The following is a 24,002-nucleotide window of genomic DNA, read 5'->3' as shown; positions in this document are numbered from 1 at the left end:
ATAAGGGGACACCCCTCCTTTATAAGTAAGTTCTTTCTATACGCAGTCTTCTTTCTGTGTGCAAATAGAATGTATGGCAAAGACTTGGCTTTGTGTATTCCTTAGTTTTTTACTTCTAGAGAATTTAATTTATCAAGTTGTGTCTTCTAAATGAAAACAAATTTTCATTTTATGAAACTGAAGTGTCTAATGAATTCTAAAAATGAAAATTCTCTGTAGCCTGACAAGTTTAGAACTTTATTTAAGAATGTTATGTTGGGTCAGGTGTGGTCATGCTTGTAATCCCAGCACCTTGGGAGGCTGAGATGGGAAGATTGCTTGAGCCAGGAGTTTGAGACCAGCCTAGGCAACATAGTGAGACCCCATTTCTACAAAAAGTTTAAAAAAAAATTAGCCGAGTAGTTAGCTCCCAGCTACATGGGAGGCTAAGGTGGAAGGGTCACTTGAGTCCAGGAGTTTGAGGCTGCAGTGAGCTATGATCCCACCACTGCACTCAAGCCTGGGCAACATGACACCCTGTCTGGAAGGAAAAAATATATATATATGTTAATAAGCTTCTGCCCTCACCCTCTCACCTTAATATTCTACCCTGAATTGCTGAAGACTTTTTTTGATGCCTTTCCTCATCCTCTTCCCTCACCTCTACCCCCAGTTGTACCAATTGTAATTCTTGGTCATTAATACTCTTTGGATTGTAAAAATTAAGAGAAGTAGTGTAAGACAGTGGTTAAGAGTGTGGACCTTACGGTCATAGAACCAGAGTTTGAATGTGAGTTTGCCATTTAATAGCTGTAGCATCTTTGAGGCTGCAAGGCTTCTCTTTGCCCCAATTTCTTCATCTATAAATGGGGGTATTATTAATAATAGTGCTATCTCATACATTCATATATGTAGAGTATGTAGAGTACTTAGAATTTGGCACATGGTAAGGATTATGTAAATGTTAACTTCGATTTTAGAACACTGTAATAGGGTAATATGAGCTGCTATAGCACACATAGCCCATATATCAGTGACTTGATTCACTAGATTATTTCTCACTTTGTAAAGTCTAAAATGGATATTCTCGATAGGTAGGTGCTTACCAACCCAAGTGACACTTTTTACTATTAAGATGTTAGAATATCTACCTAGAAAGTGGAGAAACTTAAGCTGATCCTAGCATTAGTCATATATGGCCCATATTTAGGCCTAGAACAAAAAAGCTGCTAATAAAGACTTACAATATAGGAATGTTTTGAATTTTCAAGTAGAGGTTTAGGCTTTATAGGAGGTAACTAATTACTTTTAACGGGGCGAATGAAGTAAAAGTAAGCTCAGAGGCAGCAAAACATAGAAGTAACTCAGGCTAGATAGGAAGGGAAAATTGGTTCATATTAAGCACAGGGAGAAAGAATACCTTTGAGTGTGGAGCATTGTTAGTGATTGAGGTGGATCATAAGTGAATACAGCAGTAGGAGTTGATGAAAGTTAAATTAATATGGCTGCCGGAAACCAGTAATACACCATGAAATGGATGAATCTGAGATACTAGTAACCCAGTAGGAAGGATGGATAAAGTGTTCCACAAAGTTCTGAAGGAATAGTAACAGATTCATAAAGCAAATAGAATGATAGGGCTAATTAAAGAACATTCACATATTCCTGGTATCAAAAAATAACTATAGATATATCTTGTTTGTTTAAAATACACGTGGCTAGATGAGGTGGCTCACGCTTGTTATCCCAGCACTTTGGGAGGCCAAGGTGGAAGGATCACTTGAGCCCAGGAGTTAAGAGACCAGCCTGGACAACATAGTGACACCCCATCTCCACAAAACATTTTAAAAGAATTAGCTTTGGCAAAAAAAGTTAGCTGGGCATGGTGATGTGCACCTGTAGTCCCAGCTACTCTGGAGGTAGAGGTGGGAGGATCACTTGAGCCCAGGAGATCAAAGCTGCAGTGAGCTATGATCGTGCCACTACACTCCAGCCTGGGCAACAGAGTAAGACCTTGTCTCAAAAACAAACAGACAAACAAAAAACCCAAAGCCCCTCAATATATTTGGGTTTACAAAGCAGCTTCAGTAAGGGAAAATTATGAGATGGTTTTTCATTTCTTAAGGATTTTACTCTAGATTTTTTTATACCTGACTAGTTAAAACATCATTTTATTACCTATTTTAGCTCTATATAAATCATTTCAAAATGATATTTTACAGTTATGTGTTCATATATTTAAAGTAGTCTTGAAATGTCATTTTTTATTTTTCCTTTTGGAAGATTTCAAGCAATATTGTGAGTACCTTTATAATAAATTATAATTTAGCTGCACCTTTTTTTTTTCTTCCCCTGAGATGGAGTCTTGCTCTGTTGCCCATGCTGGAGTGCAGTGGCCCAATCTTGGTTTACTGAAACCTCTGCCTCCCAGGTTTAAGCAATTCTCCTGCCTCAGCCTCCGGAGTAGCTGGGATTACAGGCACGTGTCACCATGCCTGGCTCCTTTTTTTTTGTATTTTTGGTAGAGACAGTGTTTCACAATTGTTGGCCAGGCTGGTCTTGAACTTCTGACCTCGTGATCTGCCCGCCTCAGCCTCCCAAAGTGTTGGGATTACAGGCGTGAGCCACCGCGCCTGGCCTATCTGCACTTTTATATTCTTTTTTCTCCTTAGATTAGTACACATAAATCAACAATGTGTTTATATTCCATTTGTTTGCTTTGCTTTACTTATACTGAAGACAAATGCTGAAATATCTGATATAGTCTATATATATTATATATCAACTGTTAATATTTTCTGACAGCTAATTAAAAAATTGAATACCAAAGCATATTTCTCCATTAGAGAGAAGGCATACCATAAATGTTGTGGTTTAGACCTTTAGAGCCTATTTAGAGCTGAATTAAGTTGACTTGCACTGAATTTAATTAGTTTCTAATCCAAAACAAAGGCGCTGTGTTTTATATATAAGGTTACCATTAAGATAGATATTTTAGCTAACAATATTGGAATGTGTTTTGTAGAGGATAGGGAATGTTCTGATATTACAATAGAAAAATAATAAAAATTAATTCCTCCTAATATCTGCATCTTTCCTTTTTTATTTTTGAGATAGAGTCTTGCCCCTGTTGCACAGGCTGGAGAATAGTGGCTTGATCTCGGCTCGCTGCAACCTCCACCTCCCGGGTTCGAGCAATTCTTCTTCCTCAGCCTCCCAAGTAGCTGGGATTACAGGCGTGTACCACCACACTTGGCTAATTTTTGTATTTTTAGTAGAGAAGGGGTTTTGCCATGTTGGCTAGGCTGGTCTCAAACTCTTGACCTCAGGTGATCCACCCGCCTTCAGCCTCCCAAAGTGCTAGGATTACAGGCATGAGCCACCATGCCTGGACGTCGTTCCTCTTTTGTTTCAAACCTGCTAGCTTTTCAAAAATTATGTAGAAAAACTAAGTTATTTCATACCTTTTATAGAGGTTACTTGGATCAAGAATTTTCTGTCTTTATTTTTGAGGAATTTTTTTTTTATACTTTTGGGTCTTTAGAGAGATCTCTGTCCTTCTGTCTCTCAAAAGTCCAAGAAGGTTTAAAAAATTAAAAAAACAAATTTCACTATTTTGTGTTCATCCTTTTCAGAATAAAAATCCTGCATATAAGGCATTATAACATTTGGTGACTTTAATCTTTCCAGTCTACGGTTAACTTGCAAGTGATGTAAATGCCAAAAGTTGAATCGAAAACTTTTCTGTTACGGAAATTAAGGTAGTTGACTAGCCAATTTTAAATGTTTCTTGCATGGTTCCATTTACAGGGAAATGACAGAAAAATGCGAAGAGAGAGGTAAAACAAGAGGGAACACTCTTAAACACTGCCGGTGGGAAGGTAAACTAGTACAACCACTATGGAAAACAGTATGGAGATTTCTTAGAGAACTAAAAGTAGAACTACCATTCGATCCAGCAGTCACACTACTGGGTGTCTACCCAGAGGAGGAGAAGTCACTGTATGAAAAAGATGCATGTACATGCATGCTTATAGCTGCACAATTTGCAATTGCAAAAATATGGAACCAGCCTTAATGCCCATTAGCTAACAAGTGGATAAAGAAAATGTGGCATATATACACCATGGAATACTACTCTGCCATAAAATGGAACAAAGTAATGGCCTTTGCAGCAACTTGGATGGAGCTGGAGGCTGTTATTCTAAGTGAAGTAACTCAGGAATGGAAAACTAAATATCATATGTTCTCACTTTTAAGTGGGAACTAAGCTGTGAGGATACAAAGGCATAAGAATTATATAATGGACTTAGGGGACTTGGAGGGAAGCATGGGACGGGGGTGAGGGATAAAAGACTGCATATTGGGTACGGTGTACACTGCTTGGGTGATGGGTGCACCAAAATCTCAGAAATCACCTCTAAAGAACTTACCTACATCACCAAAAACCATCTGTACCCCCAAAACTATTGAAATTAAAAAAAGATTTTTAAGAAGGAGGGAGGGGAATACTGAAAGGAGTTGAAGAAGGAATGAGCAGGGCCATGGAGATGTGGAGGTAGAATATTAGAAAAGACAATCTCGTAGTCTTCCTGTTTCCTGGTGTGGGTTAGCATACTGGTTCTAATTAAGGACTGTGGTATTTATTGTTGAAACGTGACCAACATTAGGCCTTTTCTGGTATTTGTGGCCATTCCACGGTGGTTTGTATCTCTTAAATACATTCTGTATGCTAAGGTGAAGAACATCACTGAAAGGTCACTAATAAAGAGGAAAGGCCAACTGATAGTGTTGGATCAGTTTAGTTCGATGTTACCACACGAGCTGTCTGTACATCTAAATTCCTTTTAAACCCACCTGCTTTGCTTTGAAGGATTCTCTGAGTGAACAAATGATATGTCAATTGTAAATGGCAAATATGCTCAAACTGGTATAGAAACAGTTTTGTCAGTAAGGTTTATTGTTTCACTTTGTGCACCTTCTGTCATGCATACTTGAAAGCAATTTCTCTAGTTGGAGTATATAAGTTGCCTTGAAATCCGAAGTTAAAGTGACTCTATTAAATACATTTTGAGGGAATTTTATTTGGCATTGTGATAAGTGACTCCAGTAGAGATTTTCTTTCGTATGTATAAATAAGGTCAACACAGAGTTACACAAGGAAAGCATTCTTAGGTCATGTGTGTATGAGAGGGCAGGCAAATAAACATCTCCTTGTTTGCTGAGAGGGAGAAATTGCTATTTATTGGCTTACCATAACTACACTCTACTTTCATGAAAGCATTTTGTAGGAAAGCAGTCTAATGAAATGGTTAGGCCAAATTTTCGATTCCAACACCCTTTTATACTTACGCTATTGTCTCTGATAACATTAGATTCACATACATGTGTGCTTGTATATATACATGTATACACATACATGCATTCAAATATGCACACATATTCACCCCACAGGGTTCTTGAGATACTAATGGAGGGTAAAGTGTGAAAAACCTGGAGCCTTTGACAAGAACTCTGGAAAAGGCTTAAAAGAGGTTGGATGTTGTGGCTCATGCCTGTAATCCCAGCACTTGGAAAAGGCTGAGGCATGAGGATCACTTGAGCTAAGGAGTTCAGGACTCCTCCAGGCAACATAGTGAGACTTGTCTCTACAAAAAAATTTTTAAAAATTAATGGGCCATAATGGCATGCTCATTTGGTGGCCCAGCTACTTAGGAGGCTAAGGCAGGAAGATTGAACCCAGGAGTTCAAGGTTGCTATTATTGTGCCACTGCACTCCAGCCTGGGCAACAGAGTGAGAGCATGTCTCTAAAAAATTAAAGAAAGAAATACAATAAAATAAAAGATCAATTTTCAACAAGAATCCTCCAATTCCATGAGGCACTGAATACCTACAGAATGAAAGCACAGCTCAGAGGTTGCAATAAATCTTTCCAACCTTCTTCTTATCAAGAATACTATGGGCTTATGTAGTCATGGAGTTTTCCTTAGCTTTTGTAAATAACTGCCAAACCAGAGTAGATGTAAGTTTAATAAAAATGAAGACACTAGTTTTTGGAAATCTCAGACTTCAGTCAGTTCATTTATGAAATTTAAAAGTGATTTTTCAGAAGGGAGTATATATTACACTTATGATGAAAAGGAGTAAATAAAAGGGGAAAGGTCATCTGTTTATTCATTTGTGCAAATGTGATGTCATTTATCAAAATAAACTTTCAGCTGTAATACTAGATTAAAATAAAATTAATAATCATCTATGAAACGGTGTTTCAGCAGGCTGCTGGTAGCAGAAACACCCACTTCTAATTGGTTTCAGCAAGAAGAAAATGCATTCCTTCATGTATGGAGCAGTCCAGTGGTAGGGAAGGCTCCAGATGTCAGCTCAGGGCCCTGGCTGCAGCCTCTTTGGGATCCTGTTGCCTTAGGCCCTTAGCAAGCCCGCCACAGGGCTTCCAGCTCCACAGCCATATGCAGCCAGACTAGAGACAAAAAGGTCTCTCTCTTGCAGTGTTTTCTTCTTGGGAGCAAGGAAAACTTCCCCAGAGCCCTTCTAACAGGCTCCCAATATCACATGGCCACCTCCAATATCAGTTCTTCCCTGAGTCTCACAGTCAGAACTGCTTCACAGGCTCAGCTCAGTCACTAGGGAATTTGGACTTGCAGCAATGGTCCAATTCAGGATTCAACATTCGAGTCTGAACTGAGGGCCACCACCCCTTGATGCACATGAGGGGATGGGTGCCCTAACTGATTTGGGCCTTTGCTGGCAAATGTTTAATGGAGAGGGGATGTTGGGTAGGCAGCCAGAGGTACTTGCTTTTATAAACAGAAAATGACGGATGAGAATGGGTTTTTGAAAAGATCATAAAACGTGTCTGTCAAATAAAACATTTGGTTTTCAAGATTTTTAAAAAACATACTTCATTTCTGTAAAGAGAATGTTGCTAATAAGAACTAAAGATAATTTTACTAAAAAAAAGTTTTGCCAGCAGAGAATTTATTTTTAAAAAATAAACAAAATAGTTATCCAGGAATTCTTATGTAATCTCTGGCATGGGGCTTGAATTGAACAGCGTTTTATCTTTAGGAATAATGGAGTTCTAAGTCCATAGCTGACACTCATCTCTGATCATCTTAGGAGTTACTGCCATCCTTACTAAATCTTATGAAGTAATAGTCTGATGAAATATGAGTATTTAGACTTGCATTAGCTTTCAAAAAAGTCCCCAGTATTTGAAGAGGGTACTTCCTGTGGCTGGTTTGGCAATTGAGATTAGTAAATTAGGAAGATGCTACTGTCTTCATTGACCTTTTATAACATGTGTTTGACAAAGCCTTGAGTCTTCTATAATAACAACAATGGTAATAGCCATTCTTTATTTGTCACTTGCACACACTGCCAGGCCCTGTGCTTCACAGGTAGTATGTTAATCATATGTTTATTTTAAGGGGAAAACCTAATATGTACCATGCTTCCTATCCCATAAGTGGTGCAAGATGAGAGTTGGAATCAGATCTGTCTGTCCCCTGAATCCTGTTTTCGATAATACTTCTTCAAAAGAAGAAAGATGAGAAAACAGCAATTACGTGCTCCATTGATGGAAGATACCAGATCAAATCCTTTGGCAGATTAATCAACATGATCCCACATCCTTTTAGGTTGCAGTGTAGGACCCAACCTGTACTATTTCCAGTGTAGCAAGTACTGAAGGAAGTTCTGGTGTCCAGCCGTTTTCCTGGTATTCTTTCTGCAGCAGTCAGTTATCCTGCTAAAGCATAAAGCAACTGTGTTATTCCTCTGTGGAGAACCTTCTATCTCTCTGAGCTGAAGCTAAAATGTTAGAGGGCCTGCTGGCCTTGTACTTTCTCTTACTGTTTCCTTCCATTCTCTGACATCATCTCCTTCTACTCCTCTCTTTATTGACTCCACTCTCTGCTCTGTCCTCATTGCTGTTCCTTGAACCTACTAACCTCTTTTCTGTCTCAGGGACTTTGACCTTGAGGTCCAACTGTCTGGATTGCTTTTCGCACCAGGAATCAGCATAGCTCATTCCCGTCTCTCTTTTCAGCCTTGACTTAAGTTGTCTCAGTGAGGACTTGCTGACCACAACACCACCCCCTACTCATGGGATACTCTAACTTCTTTCTTCTTCTTTTCTTCCTAGGTGTTTTTAGTATTTTTCTTTTTTAGAGATGGGGGTCTCACTGTGCTGCCCACACTGGACTTGAATGTCTGGGCTTAAGTGATCCTCCTGCCTCAGCCACCCAAATAGCTGGGACTGCAGGTGGATGCCACTGTGCCCAGCTGTTTTCCATATTTTATGTACTGTACATTTATTTTCCGAATACTAGAAGCTCCCTGAGAGATTTTGTCTATATTGTGTATTGCTAGATCCTAAGTACCTAGAACAGGACCTGGTACGATGTTGCTTAGTAAATATTGCGGACCGGATGAATGAGTGAATGACTCATGTATAGATTAGAACTCTGGCTGTGATCAAGCAGGTGGATTGCCGAGAGATATTCACAAGGACATAGTGTTACTTAATTGCAAAACCATTTAGATGCTTCTATTAGATTAGTGGTGTCCAGTCCTTTTCTGTCATCAAAAGAGTGAATCAGAGTGTCTGGTTTTATTCAGCATATGTTACTCTGATATGCCTCAAAACATGGGAATTATATGTAATTCTCAACCGCAAGGATTTTTTTTTTCGGTCTAACTGACTCCTACCATTTCAGAAGTCCTTGAAAGCAAGCACCCAGAGGCTTTCATGTGCCAATGACTCTGCAGACCCAAAGAGATACTCAAGATAATATTGACACTTTTATAGTCTGCATGGTGCTGCTTGCAGATGATAAGCCTACATGCCATAAAGCAGAACTTCATATGGAATTAGTATTGTTTTTGCTTTCCCAACAACATGACGACAGGCAAAGAAAAGAAAAGGAAGAACAAGTGGCCCTCAAATGCCAGACCAGACTGAAGATGCATGTAGTGAGGGTAGTAACCAGTTTGCACCTTTAATATCTTGAATTGTTTCCATCACTTAGGAACCATTTCTTTCATATGTATGATATGCAGGTGCTGTGCTAAGCATTATCAATATAATGATAAATAAAAGAATAAAATCTTTATCCTCATGGAGCTTCCAAACAAGTAGAGAACAGTTACTAATACACACATATGTAAATAATTTAAAAACCCTTATCAAAACTCTGAAGAAAAGGTTAAAAAAAAAAAAAAAAAAAAAAGGGCCAGGTGCCATGGCTCATTCTTGTAATCCCAGCACTTTGGGAGGCCAAGGTGAGAAGATTGAGCCCAGGAGTTCGAGACTAGCTTGGGCAACATAGTGAGACCCTCATCTCTACAGAAGTAAAAAAAATTAGCTGGACATGTTGATGCACACCTGTAGTCCCAGCTACTTGGGAGGCTAAGGAGGAAGGATCATTTGAGCCCAGTATGTCGAGCCTACAGTGAGCTGTTATCATGCCACTGCACTCTAGCCTGGGCGACAGAACGAGACCCTGTCCCAAAACAAAGAAACAAACAGAAACTTAACAGGCACTGCAAGAAAGAATGATGGTAGGAGGAGCCAGGGTAGACCTCTCTTAGAAACTGAGGCTTAAGGTTTGAGCTTTGATTAGGTTTGAGGGTTGCTGCTTTTATAGAGATTATTTTGGTTTCATTAGCAATAGTCACAGTTAGCCTCAAATGTCAAATCTGAATCTGGACCAGGGTGCACAATACTGTGAAGCTCAGTAAGATTCAAAGGTTACTTAGAATGGCTGTTTCTGTTAGGCTAATAGTGTTGCTTAGAGCAACAGGATTCTGTTGGATGGGAAATCTGTATGTAAACAGCAGGTATGAGCCAGATATCTTGCAGCAGCTATGTGGCAAGGGAAAGGTGGTGGTGGCTATAATCTGCATGGCTGGAGAATAAACAAATATTGATGTGGGACTTTAAACTATGGCAATGCTAGGACATTCTAGGAAGAAGCAACAGTAGAGGTGGATTGTACTTTCTAGTTAGGGTATCTTTCTGACTGCTTCGAATATTAAGGCCGTATACAGTCAAACTGTCCAGAAAAAGGAAAAAAAAGTCTTTGTGTCAAGAAGATCAAAGTTCATTTAAATTTGAATGACAGCTGTTTTAAAAAATCATACTTAGGCCAGGTGCGGTGGCTCATGCCTGTAATCCCAGCACTTTGGGAGGCTGAAGCGGGTGGATCACCTGAGGTCAGGAGTTTGAGACCAGCCTGACCAACACAGTGAAACCCCATCTCTACTAAAAATCCAAAAAATTAGCCGGGTGTGGTGGTGCATGCCTGTAATCCCAGCTACTCAGGAGGCTGAGGCAGGAGAATCGCTTGAACCCGGGAGGCAGAGAGATTGCAGTAAGCCGAGATCATGCCACTGCACTCCAGCCTGAGCCACAGAGCGAGACTCTGTCTCAAAAAAAATAAAAATAGAAAAATTAAAAATTATACTAATCTAAAAACACATAATCAGTTACTGTGTTTTAAGCTGTGAAGCTTAACACCTTGTACTTTTATAGGGTATGTAATATTTGAATGACATACAACTATCCTCTACTTGGGGAGTAGGAATTTCTGCAACAGTGACTGCTCACAATTAATGTCTTCAGTCTCCTCCATTATATGATGTGATGTGGATCTCTGTAAAAGGAAAACCAAAACAAAACAAAACTCTACAAACTCTTTTGTTTGTTGGTTGGTTTTTCTGAGATGGAGTCTCTCTCTGTCACCCAGATTGGAGTGCAGTGGCGAGATCTCAGCTCACTGCAAGCTCCGCCTCCTGGGTTCATGCCATTCTTCTGCCTCAGCCTCCCAGCCTATAGCTGGGACTACAGGCACCTACCACCATGCCTGGCTAATTTTTTGTATTTTTAGTAGAGACGGAGTTTCACCATGTTAGCCAGGATGGTCTCGATCTCCTCACCTTGTGATCTGCCTGCCTTGGCCTCCCAAAGTGCTGGGATTACAGGTGTGAGTCACCGCGCCTGGCCCACAAACTCTTTTGAAAACCATGTAGGGGGAACTAGTGTATGTCCATGCCATAAAATTGCCATTTCCTTGCCATAGTATCAGGATCCTCAAATGGTAGTCCATTTTGATTTTGTAATTCTCTGCTTTCTCCTCTCACCTCTTAAATACCTGAATAGATGTTGGAGGATTGCTCCATTCTTCACTCGGGAGCCTGGTCCCTTTGTCAGTTATAATAAGTGAATCAGGGAGTTTCTCTCTCTGGCTCTGCTCTGTGCATTGTAAAGCAGAGTTTCTCAAAATGTGGAATGAACCCCTGCGTTAGAGCACCTGCACTGAATCCCTGGGTATACTTCTCTTAAAACTGCAGGTTTTTGGTTATATAATGTTATACCAAGGGAATTTTTTAAAAGAGAATGTTTTAAAAAGGTATTTCAAGACAATAAGGAGCTACTTGTTTGTAAGAGTTCTACAGAAACCAAAAATTATGCGAATTCATACTTTTGGGAATCTTATCTTTTCCAAGGACTTTGTTAACTATTTCATCAACTCTAAGGCAGTTAAGAATAAACACAGTTAAACAGGTACTTCAGGCTGGATGTGGTGGCTCACGCCTGTAATCCCAGCACTTTGGGAGGCCGAATTGCTTGAGTCCAGGAGTTCGAGACCAGCCTGGGCAACATGGCAAGACCCCATCTCTACAAAGAATACGAAAAATTAGCCACGTGGTGGTGCATGCCAGTAGTCTCAGCTACTCAGGAGGCTAAGGTGGGAGGATCACTTGAGCCCAGGAGGTCGAGGCTGCAGTGAGCCGAGATCATGCCACTGCACTCCAGCCTGGGTGACAGTGAGGCCCTGTCTCAAAAAAAAAAAAAGAAAAGCAAAAAAATCCCAGAAATCTACGTACTTCAACTAAAATTCAAAAACTTTCTGCTTGTGCCCTACCTGCCTAGATGACCAACTTCATCTAGGTGATTTTTTTTTTTTTTTTTTTTTTTTTTTGCTCTCCAAAATTCTACTTGCATATGCTGCAAAAACCCAGGATGACTTTTGAGGAGAGAGAGAGAGTCTTTGAATAAAAGCACAACGTGTTAGATCTTTTATTTCTGTATCCCTCAGTTCTGAGCAAAATGCCCACACAGTAGGATCTCGGTAAATCTTCCTGTCTCTTGGAGTGGACTTCCTTTAGGATACAGCAAGTTCTGACCGTGACTTCCTAGGAAAGAGTCCTCCCCACTAAAAGAGTGGAATAGAGTCAGTGGTCATTTCAGTCACTAAATTCTCCTGCTGGTGATGCCAAAGGCAAGACTAGATCTGCTAGTGATGCTGATTTTAAGTGCATAGATACTTTTCTGTGTTTCCATAAAATGCCAGAAAATGAGCTGCTCAGCCAAACCCTGTGCCACAGTAAGGGGAACCTTGAAAGAAAGAGGCAAAAGGCAACATACACCAACTATGAGGAATAAGGAATACACCAACCTTGAAAGAAAGAAGTAAAAGACACATACACCAACTATGAGGAATAAGGCAAATGGCTCTTCGAAGAGGCTCAAGGCCATACCAGTCCTCTCAGTTCCAGAGGGGAGGGGCCCAGAGGAGTCATCTCCCAGCAGGGTGAGAACCAAAAGGTTGGTGAGGTACTGAGGCTACCCATGGAGGAATTTGGGAGGGAATAAACACCTACATCCACACAAGTCCTTTAGAAGATTTTTAGCAGCAAGAGTTGGCTACTAATAGGTCAGCCCTCTTACCTAAAATGACGCAGTTGCTTTCTATGAAAGCATGATTTTGATGCTCAGCACTCCACAGATACATACTATGTAAATGTTATCACCATGCACGAGTTCATACTGTTGCATAGAACTAGCTGGCAAGTGAGAAACAAAGTGCCAGTTTCTATGTAGGCAGTGTTTCCACAGTTACTTCAGCCCTTTCTACCCCAGTACAGCAGAATTCTGGGTAGTGTAAATAATTGATGAATTCAAGCATTGGTACATTATATAGGGGCCAGTTAGAGACCCATGTAGGTATTTTCTCTGTTATGGTTCTTCTAAAAAAGTTTTTATCTTGTTAATACTGGTTTTGACTTTTTTATTTTTTTATTATTATACTTTAAGTTCTAGTGTACATGTGCACAACGTGCATTTTTGTTACATATGTATACATGTGCCATGTTGGTGTGTGCCGCACCCATTAACTCGTCATTTACATTAGGTATATCTCCCATTACTATCCCTCCCCCCTCTCCCCACTCCACGACAGGCCCTGGTGTGTGATGTTCCCCTTCCTGTGGTTTTGACTTTTTTTTTTTTTTTTTTAAACATAGAATCAACAGTTCGATACAGGTAGAGGATTCATTAATGAGAATGCATCTTTCACTACTGTGCAATGAATATTTGATGGCATTTTTATTCCCCTGAAATGTTCAGGTGCTGTAAATACTTCTGAAAAAGCTTTTCAGGGAGTTCACATTACTTCTCAGAATAGGCTAATGTTTGTTTGTATCATACTTCTAAGATAGAATGGTGGTCTCCCCGTCCCCCATGTCATATGTCTCTCTCATAACCCCATGAAAAGGTGTAGAAGAGATTCTCCATGTGGAAAATTTCTGTGAGGTTTCAGAAGCCTATAACATTATTCCCATAATTGACTGATCTTTAACTTGCCATTCTTAAGTAAGAGGATTCAATTAAAAAAATTTTTGTTTTACTTCGCCAACATCAGTGGTCAAGTGTTTCTCTAATTTGTTTTGAACTGCGTGGCAGGAGTGGAATTTGAGCCCACACCTCCCTACAAAGACCAGAATCATTTCTTTTTTATAAAACTCTGAGAATAGTGATACTGCTTTGCCAAAAATGAAAAGACTTTCTATAAGCACATAGACAAACATGATGAGTGGGTATGAAATGCTTACCAGTAATGGTAGTCATAGGTTGTATAATCTTTCTGTGCTAAGAATTAGCAGTAGGTTGGCTAGTCATTGGCCTGGGATGGCTTGATGTGACCCAGCTTCCAGGTAGGAACCTAAATCAGATACCAAGAGACTTTTCTACCTCAGGAACCTAAACACAGAACAGAGCACCCTCCTCAAATCTATCAAGTCAGTTAATTGTTAAATTCATAATTCCACAGTTTGTAATCACTCTTATGGATGGTTAGGCAGTTAACTAGCCATATGGAAGTGATAGGGAATTCCAATCAAGGTAAAATTGAGCAGCAGAGTGAAAATGCAAAAGCTTTCTAGTTTTTATTCTATATGGGAAGATGAGTTCTGGAGCTGCGAAGAACACCTGGTTAATGAGTTCTTGAGACATGTCTAATAGCTTTTCCCTAAGGCTAGGGACATGAGAAATAATCATGAAATTTGAGAGAAAGGAGATTTAAGATAAGGTTGTCAAAAGGGATAAGTATTTTAAAGACACCTCAGCCTACTGGACTTTTGGTTGCATGCAAAATAGAGTATACAGCCTGGGAGTGCACAGCCAGCTATGAACTTCCTGATTCACAGTGAATGTTATTTTTTGCCTCTGCATGCACCTCCCTTGCTCTGACTTGCCCTGCTGTGCCGTGGCCTTCCACACCTTCTGCATGACTGGACTTTGCCTTCAGCGTCTTCACATGGCCTGTAGGGCACAGCCTCTTGCAAAGGAAGTGCTCAGAAGGTATATTTAGAAATGAATTTCCTAAACAGTTGAAAGTATCCTTCATAAACAAAAGGACTGATTATATTTTTTCCTCTCTTTTTTTGATGATTAAAAGCATTTTAAATACTATTTTTTTTGTCTTGATTGATTAAAGGAAATACTATGTATGGCAGAATATTGGCAGTGAGTAGAAATTCAAAGCAGGCTTAATATTGACTTTATGGAGAGATAGGGAAAGGCCAATTAAATAATGAAAGTAAAGGCTTACATAATATTGTATACTAATGTAATTAAATAAATGTGGAAAAATCCGTGTATTTAAATGGGGGGTCTGAATCTAACACCTCACCACTCACTTTCTAATAGAAGCTATTTTTGTAAGTGTGTGGGAGTCTGGCAATATCCTTTCAGATAGAAATCATTGTAGGTTTAAATCACTGATATAGCATGGATTAAGCAGATGAAAGCAATGAAGGAAGAGCCTGTTTAGATTCCAGAGAATAAAATTCATAGAACTGTGAGAGGTGGAGCTTGAAATACTGCCACAGTTTTGAAGTTGTTTTAGTGACATCATGTTTCTATGCATGATTCTTACATATGTATCAAAGTGTGGGAGTATTCATCTTCCAGAATTCTAGAATTCATGATTTTGTAATCTAGCCTATCAAGTGATTCACATACAAAGCCTTTCTTTTTTCCTGAACTGTTGAATTTGGATAAATTGTGAATTGTGTTTTTTTTTTAAACTAGTAAAGTGGTATCTTTTGGAATTGCTTCTTAATTGTCTATGGTAAGGCATAAGGCACGTTGCATGTTGCTTTTCAAAATATCTTGATATGATAAAGTGCAGTTCAGAACTGTAATAAAAGGGGCTATTTTTTAATATCCCAGAGAGTTTAATTATAAAATAATTTTGTAGTAACATGATCTTTGACCAAATTTCCGTCTAGCATTGTAGATCTTCATTTTGTATATTTTCTTTAGTTTTATGACAAGAATAATAATACTCATTCTCCTCCTCATATTTTCTTAGGACCTGAGTAAGTACTACAGCTTGATGCTCAGTCCTCACTTACTGTGGCTAATTCGAGAGACACTTGATACTGAAATGCAAGATCTGGTGTTACTCAGCACTGGTTTATGAGCACCAGGGGCTATGCTTTTTGCTATATACACATCACAGTCTGCCTTCATAGTACCCCTGCAGAGGAGGTGGTATTGTGCCTGTTGTACAGGGTAAGAAACAAAGGTTCAGAAAACTTCAGTAACTCTTTCAAGGCTTGAGGTCACACCACAAAGAACGTAGTTTATCCAGGATTTGAACTCAGCATTCTGTTACCCCACAGCCGTTGCTCTTTCTGTTGTGCAGCATTGATTCTCTTGTAACTTTGTCTATTTTCATAAATTAATTTGTCTCTAGGAACAGGCAGCTTTCTCTCTTCTAGATGTTATGACCTATTTTCTGTCTCATAACATGGCCAAGTACATAATTTGAGACTGTGTTTTTTATTGTTTGTCTTACGTTGTTTTTCAGCAAATAAACATTAACCAAAATCAGGTAGCCAAGATGCCAAATCATGTAGCAAACCTACACATAGGGGGAACAAAGAAAAACTGAACATGCTAAGTAAGCCATCTTTTCACCTAGCGTCTTAATTGTGAGGCATATATGTTGCATGTTGCTTGTGAAAGTATCTTAGTATCATAAGATGCAGTTCAGAATTGTAATCAAAGAAGGGGCTATTTTTTAGTCTTCCAGAGAGTTCAGTCTCCCCCCCCTTGGGCATGCACCCTGGGGCTTTGGGACCTCAGAGGTTCTTTTTATTAGCTTAATTGTTTAGCTCGTTAACTGTTCCCTTGTGCTTTCCTAGTAAGGGGCACTTCCCTACTAGAAGGGGATGAACTCCAGCTGGTATTGAGGTCATATGAGTGTAGTTTTGATTGAAAAAAAGAACAACATGGACACAAATATTGGCCATGACAGGTAGATATCAAATAGTTCTTTCATATATTTTAATTTTAATTTAATTTAATTTAATTTTTTTTTTTTTGAGACAGAGTCTCGCTCTTGTTGCCCAGGCTGGAGTGCAATGGCGCCATCTCGGCTCACCGCAACCTCTACCTCCTGTGTTCAAGCAATTCTCCAGCCTCAGCGTCCCGAGTAACTGGGATTATAGGCATCCGCCACCGTACCTGGTTAATTTTTGGATTTTTAGTAGAGACAGGGTTTCACCATGATGGCCAGGCTGGTCTTGAACTCCTGGCCTCAGGTGATCTGCCCACCTCGGCCTCCCAAAGCACTGGAATTACAGGCATGAGCCACCACCCAGCCGAATTTTTATTTTATTTTTCTGAGACAGAGTCTTACTCTGTCACTCAGGCTGGAGTACAGTGGCACAATCTAGGCAGAGGCAACCTCTGCCTCCCAGTTTCAAGCGATTCTCGTGACTCAGTCTCCTGAGTAGCTGGGATTACAGGTCAGTGCCACCACGCCCGGCTGATTTTTGTGTTTTTAGTAGAGACATGGTTTTACCATGTTGTCCAGGCTGGTCTTGAACTGACCTCAATTGATCCACTCGCCTCGCCTCCCAAAGTGCTGGGATTATAGGCGTGAGCCACTGTACCTGGCCCATTTTTTTTAAAAGTGAAAAACCAAACTAAAGTGTGATAATAGTTTTGAACATTTAGTGGAGTGTAAGAAAAGAGAACCCATTTGACTCAGGTTCACTGATAAAGGGTTCTATTTCCTTTTCTAGGAGTTGAGCATTGCTGTTGGTTTTGTGGGAGGTAATATTTACACAATCATACTGCTGTGGATGTAGCTAAATAGTTTATTGGTTAATCCCCACACAAGACAGGAAAGATGTAATTATAACTACAGAGAGAAAACAATCATCAAGGTTTTAAAATCTAGCAATGCAAAGGGAGTGAAAGAGCAGACAGAAGCCTGAGGCTAGAAGGCAGGAAAAGAGGCAGGAGGGAGAGGGACCTTGGTACTCATTTTCTTCTTTTACATGGTGGGATGTAGAGAAATACTGTGTAATACTGCTGAAACAGGAAACAGAGCTAACCAATTGAAGGACTAAAAATAGTATAATCAAGAAAACTAGAGACAAAATAGAGGTGAAGTAAGTGTGAATGAGTTAGATACGGGGGAGGCGGTAAGTCAGTAGATTCTGTCTGAAGTTGACACATCAGGGATAGAAGCCTGTCATTTCGTTAAGCTGATCACCATAGAAGGACTGTAAAAGCAATAATGGAAGGGAGTGGAAATGGGGAGTATGGGCCCAGAGACACTTACTTTCCACTTTTTACCATGCTTCTGTTTAGGAAAAGTTACCTGCACATGTATTACTTTTCATATAATTTAAGAAAAAGGAAGAATTTCAGCAAATTGTAGATGTACAGTGTCAGGAATAATTTTCCACGCATACTATGACATTACTGTTATTACTAGGGTACCAGGGACTGCTGTTGCCACTGGTGGAGGGTTCTGGTTTCCAAAGAATCAGGACAAGGGGGTTAAGTTGGGGCAAGGTGACAGATAACTACACCCATGATCCCATTCAGGTATTCAACTGGTTTCATGGTTGGATCCTGATCAAAATATGGCAGAAGTATTTAGATAGAAGAAACATAAAGGAAAGAACCCCACTAGCCTTCTTCAGACTTGCAAAGTGAAAATGTTCCTCCTATAAGGGGCTGCTGGGGAAGCCCAGCACCCTGGCTAATGCTCCAGGGTTGCAGAACCCCGCTTCTTGTTCTGGGATGCCATGGCCATTCTGGAGAGTGCATGTCTGCGTTGCCTTTGTTTTCTCTAGTCTGAGGAGTGGCTGAGCTTCAGGGCACTGACTTCCTCCCAGGAACTTCCTGAAAGGGGAAATTTCGACTTTGCTGTATGAACACTCTGAATGCCTGTGGGTTGAACAATGGTAGCTGCTGTTGTTTTTTTTTCAAGAGGGAGCTCAATTTTGTTTTGACCTTGGGAAGTGTGGATAGTTGTGTTCATGGCGCCTCCATGTGGGCGGTCAAGGAAGAAAGTCTTGGGGTAGGAGCCCTTGGAGAATGAGGACTTGATTTTGCCATTTTTGCTTTTGGCCTTAATCTGTGTTGTTGTGGAGACAGTAGTACTGAGATGGGGTTAGGGTGGGGAATGGAGTGTGGAGAAGGGCCAGGGAAGGAGCTAACTAGAGGGTTAGTGCCAATAGCTGAAGGAAGCGCTCTGCCTTAGGAGGCTTTATAAATAGTTGCCTTTATCCAGTGTGTCTCATTTTGCCTCTCTCAGGCCTAATTTCTAAATAATCCCATTTTTCAAGATAAAGGAGATAAAAAGGGGTACTCTGAGATTCTCCCAGCAGGTGTGAAATCCTGCCTAATAATTGTAGCTGCAGATTTCTCTATCAGGAATTGATTTGCTGTTAATATAGTCTAGTGCTTGATGCTTGCAAAGTCATATGCCTTTGGGATTCAGGCAGGTGGTTTTAAATGAGTGACACTGGGTGGGACCTCTGGCCAACTAAAACCTTATGGCTCATTGAAGCTGTTGTTCAGCTTTGAATGTTGCCATGTATGGAGAGCAGGTTTTTAGGCTTGCCAGAGCTTCCAGTTTTTCCAGGTAAATAAAATATCTGCTTTTTATGTGAAATCTCTTGGATTTTAAATGTTGCCAACTAATCGAAAAGCTTAAAACTATTGTCTAGAATTAAAAAACAAGCCTGGGCCGGGCGTGTTGGCTCACGCCTGTAATCCCAGCACTTTGGGAGGCTGAGGTGGGTGGATCACGAGGTCAGGAGTTTGAGACCAGCCTGACCAATATGGTGAAACCCCATCTCTGCTAAAAATGCAAAAATTAGCCAGCGTGGCAGCGCGTGCCTGTAATCCCAGCTACTTGGGAGGCTGAGGCAGGAGAATCACCTGAACCTGGGAGGCGGAGGTTGCACTGAGTTGAGATCGTGCCATTGCACTCCAGCCTGGGCAACAGAGCGAGACTCTGTCTCAAAAAAAACAAAAACAAAAACAAAAAAAAACCAAAAACCAAAAAACAAAAACCAAGCCTGTTGAGTGGATAGTTTTTGGCTGCCAATTTTTACCACTGGTTAGGACTCTTAACACCTGACCCCAGTTGTTCTTCAGCCTTGATTGTTGAAAATGAGCTGAACATTTACTGGGCACTTTACTTTGTGTTCTACCTTTTTCTAAAAGCATTTAAAGATGCTTTTGTTAAATATAAACTAATATAAATTAGAAGCAGGTGGAAGACAAAAAGTTAAAACAACTGCAGGATAGTAAATGGAATCAGAATGAAATGATACACATAATGTCAGTGAACCTCAAACTGGGCATGGAGCTTGCTAGCAACTGGCATAACATAGAAGCCTTATCAGTTATACCACTTGTAGTATCTTTAAAACAAACTGTTTAACAGTGACATGGCTCTTCCCGATGCCAGGATCAGAAGGACAGCTCTCAGAAGGGTCTTCAAAAGAACACACTGAATCCTATGACTCTCATTGCAGTGAGAGCTTTATAGGATTGTTCTTCCTGTTGCTCTCCATTAAAAGGCCGATAACGGGGCTGAGCGCAGTGGCTCACGCCTGTAATCCCAGCACTTTGGGAGGCTGAGGCGGGTGGATCATGAGGTCAAGAGATCAACCATCCTGGCCAACATGGTGAAACCCCGTCTCTACTAAAAATACAGAAATTAGCTGGGCATGGTGGTGTGCGCGTGTAATCCCAACTACTCGGGAAGCTGAGGCAGAAGAATTGCTTGAACCTGGGAGGAGGAGGTTGCAGTGAACCGAGATCGCGCCACTGCCCTCCAGCCTGCTGAGAGAGCGAGACCTTGTCTCAAAAAAAAAAAAAAAAAAAAAAGGGGGGGCTGATAACAGTAAAAGTGTAGTTTGGGAAATGAGATACTAGCAATGGGACCTTGGGTAAGTTGCCCTATTTTTCTAAACCTGTTTCCTTATCTGTATAATGAAGATAATTATATTAATACAAAGCAACCACTCTCAAAGGACCATTGTGAGGCTTAGCTGGTACAGTTTGAATAAAGCACTTATTGCAGTTCTTGGTACCCAGTAAGCATTCTGTAAAAGTTGGCTGTGGTGAGTTAGAGAATTGCTAGCAGTGAGAGCTTAGTTGTCAGAATGATTTAAATGTGACTGTCCAAGATTTATTTACGGCACTTAAATGTTTTCGTTTGCTGCAATACAATTTTTTATCCCACTTAATCCTGGGTCACCAAAAAAGTGTTGAGTTACTTATGTACAGAGGATTTTGCAAGGCTCTAGGGGATGGGCCCTGTAGGGAACTTGTATTTTGGCTAACTAGGTAAAGACACAATACAAGACAGGGAGCACCAAGGGCCATCTGAGCAAGGCTGAGTCGATCCATTGAGGGGTTGTCACAGTGGGCTGATACCAAACTAAGACTTCACAGTGATCCACTTTATTATTTGGCAGGTAGAATTTTATAGTTTGAATCATTCCAAACACTGTACAAGAATATTTCAAGCTATGCAACAAAGTAAAATGAGGATTTACCTGAGTATTTTGTATGAATCATTATAGGAGCAAGGTGAACAGCAGCAATCCGTCATGCTTTGCAGTTTGTATTAATTAAACCTTAGAACGTGGGGTAGTTAGGTTGAGCCATCCTTTGCATATTTTTTCATTACAGAGAGTCTTCTCAGCTGGCCTTGGGGCATGCAGAGAGGTGGAGATCTGTGTGAGCAGCTATAGCACTAGGCAGCCTTGCATCCTGGGTGTTGAAAGTGCAGGCCATTATCCTCCCCTCTGACCTCCAAGATGTTAGGTGGCCTTTCTGTGCCTCAGTTTTATCATCTGTAAATTGGGTATGATTGTACTAGTGCCTAGTACATAAGGAGTGCTGCAAAGATTACATGAGTGTCTTTAAAGTCCTTACAACAGTATCTCACACATAGTAAGCATGGCATGTGGTAGTTACTATCATTAGTCCCTCTTGGAGCAATGTATATTAAAATTTTAAAGACAGCTGTCTGGTCAGGATTGGACATGCAGCCTGTAGTTTCAGAACAGAATGCAGCTGACTGTGTACATGGGGATAACTTTATAATGCCCTGGACCTCATTAGCTCATGGCTGTGGAATGGATGGGGGCATCTGGAGGGTCCCTGTTTCAGACCCAGAAATTGAAAGCTCAGCCCCAGCCTCAGCTCCAGCTTACTTGCTCTGTTGATATATGGCGAGTTCTTCAGTGTCTTAAAGTTTCTTTGTGCCTACAAAACAGGCTTAACCTTTCATTCTTGGTGTGTGCTGAATTTTCATAAGAAATTCAGGAATATAATGGTTGGATGAATGAGTTATATTTTAAAGATTATTAAAAATTAAAGGAGATGCAAATATAACAGCTAAATATTATTGCTTTGACTTCTAGGTTTTTGTAAGAATCTAAGTATATAGTATTCACCATATGAGAAAATTAAGTTTTACCTTATTATATAATAACCCAGTAAGGACTTTAGTTAATTGTTCAATTTTTTAAAAAAAATTTCCTGGAAATCTCTAAGATTGAACATGAAGACCCAGAAAATGACTTCATTGCCCCCTACTTTGAGTCTCACTCTGTCGCCCAGGCTGGAGTGCAGTGGCACAATCTCAGCTCACTGCAGCCTGTGCCTCCCACATTCAAGCGATTCTCCTGCCTCAGGCTCCCAAGTGGCTAAAGATCATAGGCACACGCCACCATGCCCAGCTAATTTTTGTATTTTTAGTAGAGACAGGGTTTCATCATGTTGGCCAGGCAGGTCTTGAACTCCTGACTGCAAGTGATCTGCCTGCTTTGGCCTCCCAAAGTGCTGGGATTACAGGTGTGAGCCACTGCACCCGGCCATTGCTTCCTATTTCTATGTTTCCCTCAAAGAATTGACTTGAATCTCAGTGTGGTTGTGAACTCTTCCTAATGAATTTCTGCTCCTTCTGCTGACAGCATTTTCCATACACGTTAGACCTGCTTTTTTGGGAGAGTTGTTCTGAAGTGAGTGGTTCACAGAAATGAGGGCATACACCAGCTGCGTGTAAAAATATGCCCCTGCCCTTACTGCTGCACATGCAGGGACAAGGACTGGGGAGCCTTGCAGTAGAGCCAGGTAGCTCAGCCTACTTGTGTCTGAAGATGTGGGGCTGATGTCGTGAGTTCTGTTTAGGAGTAGTTCATTTCATGTTTTCCTTAAAGGATAATTTTTGGCCATTCCCACACATTTATTCTTCATATAAAATTTAGAATCATTTGTTAACCTCTAAAAAAACCCCATTGGTTTTGAATGTGATCACACTAAACATATAGATTGATTTTGGGAAAATTTATACTTAAAGTCCAGTAATGTGGTATGTCTTGTTTTTTTTTTTTTTTCCTTTCTTTTTTAAATGTCTTCTCCTTTTTACTTAAGTAAAGGAATTTTTTTTTTTTTTTTGAGATGGAGTCTTGCTGTTGTCACCCAGGCTGGAGTACAATGGTACGATCTCGGCTCACTGCAAACTCCACCACCCGGGTTCCAGCAATTCTCCTGCCTCAACCTCTTGAGTAGCTGAGATTACAGGTGCCCACCACCACGCCCGGCTAATTTTTGTATTTTTAGTAGAGATGGGGTTTCCCCATGTTGGCCAGGCTGGTCTCGAACTCCTCAGGTGATCGATCCACCCGCCTCGGCCTCCCAAAGTGCTGTGATTACAGGTGTGAGCTACCGTAACTGGCCAGTAAATGAAATCTTGTCCTTTTATTTATATGGGTCCTACGTTTCCTGTTAAATTTATTCCTAGTTATTTTATATTTTGTTTTTGATTGTTGTAGTGAATAGACTTCTTAAATTGTATCTTGTAACTAGTACTTACTTATTATGGAAAAGCTGTTGGGTTTTTCACATTTATTAGTGGGCTTATGAAGCCCATTTACTGAATTGCCTGAAAATGGAACCGATGTTACTTGCATTTGTTTTGTGAACAAAGGAAAAAAAAACAGTATGAGAAACTTATATTTTAATTTTATTCTCTGTTAGACTCTACAGTGCATCCTGGGTCCCTCTTTTTACTCACTGTTGTGTCCCTAGTACCTGCCTCAGGATTTGCCATGGTGCGTGCACGATTAATATTTGTAGAATATTTCTTAACTTTCTTAATTCTATAATAGTTTTTTCTCTTGGGTTTTTTAAAGAAAAGCAATTATATCATCCCCAAATACTAATGATTTTGTTTCTAGTATTTTTTTTTCATTTTAATTGTTATTATTTTGGCTAGAACTTTCCTTGTAATATTCAATGATAGTCACCCTGTTGCAGATGACACGATTGTACATTTAGAAAACCCCATCATCTCAGCCCAAAATCTCCTTAAGCTGA

General features: G+C 40.2%; 1 protein-coding gene across 3 annotated transcripts in view, besides 1 other annotated feature; it reads left to right on the top strand.

The window, feature by feature from the left end:
* Positions 1-24,002, top strand: part of GNAQ (G protein subunit alpha q) — a 315,715-nt gene that overhangs the window by 35,777 nt on the left and 255,936 nt on the right. The window contains exon 1 of one of the 3 annotated variants that reach the window (XM_047423240.1): positions 11,987-24,002. This exon is cut by the window's right edge and continues 27,237 nt beyond it. The exons of the other annotated variants lie outside the window; for them this stretch is intronic. The gene's annotated coding sequence lies outside the window, so the exon portion shown is untranslated. Of the gene's footprint in view, positions 1-11,986 lie in introns of those variants that run through there. 3 annotated transcript variants of the gene reach the window in all.
* Positions 18,408-18,702: an enhancer, noted in NCBI's record as "tiled region #6688; K562 Activating DNase unmatched - State 12:CtcfO". NCBI's record gives its function as "activates a minimal TATA promoter and a strong SV40 promoter by Sharpr-MPRA in K562 cells {active_cell/tissue: K562}" and the evidence as "EXISTENCE:reporter gene assay evidence [ECO:0000049][PMID:27701403]".

The sequence above is a fragment of the Homo sapiens genome, chromosome 9 (assembly GCF_000001405.40).
Source record: "Homo sapiens chromosome 9, GRCh38.p14 Primary Assembly".
NCBI lineage: Eukaryota > Metazoa > Chordata > Mammalia > Primates > Hominidae > Homo > Homo sapiens.
The sequence above is the reverse complement of the archived record's forward strand: the minus strand, read 5'-3'. Positions and strand labels throughout refer to the sequence as shown.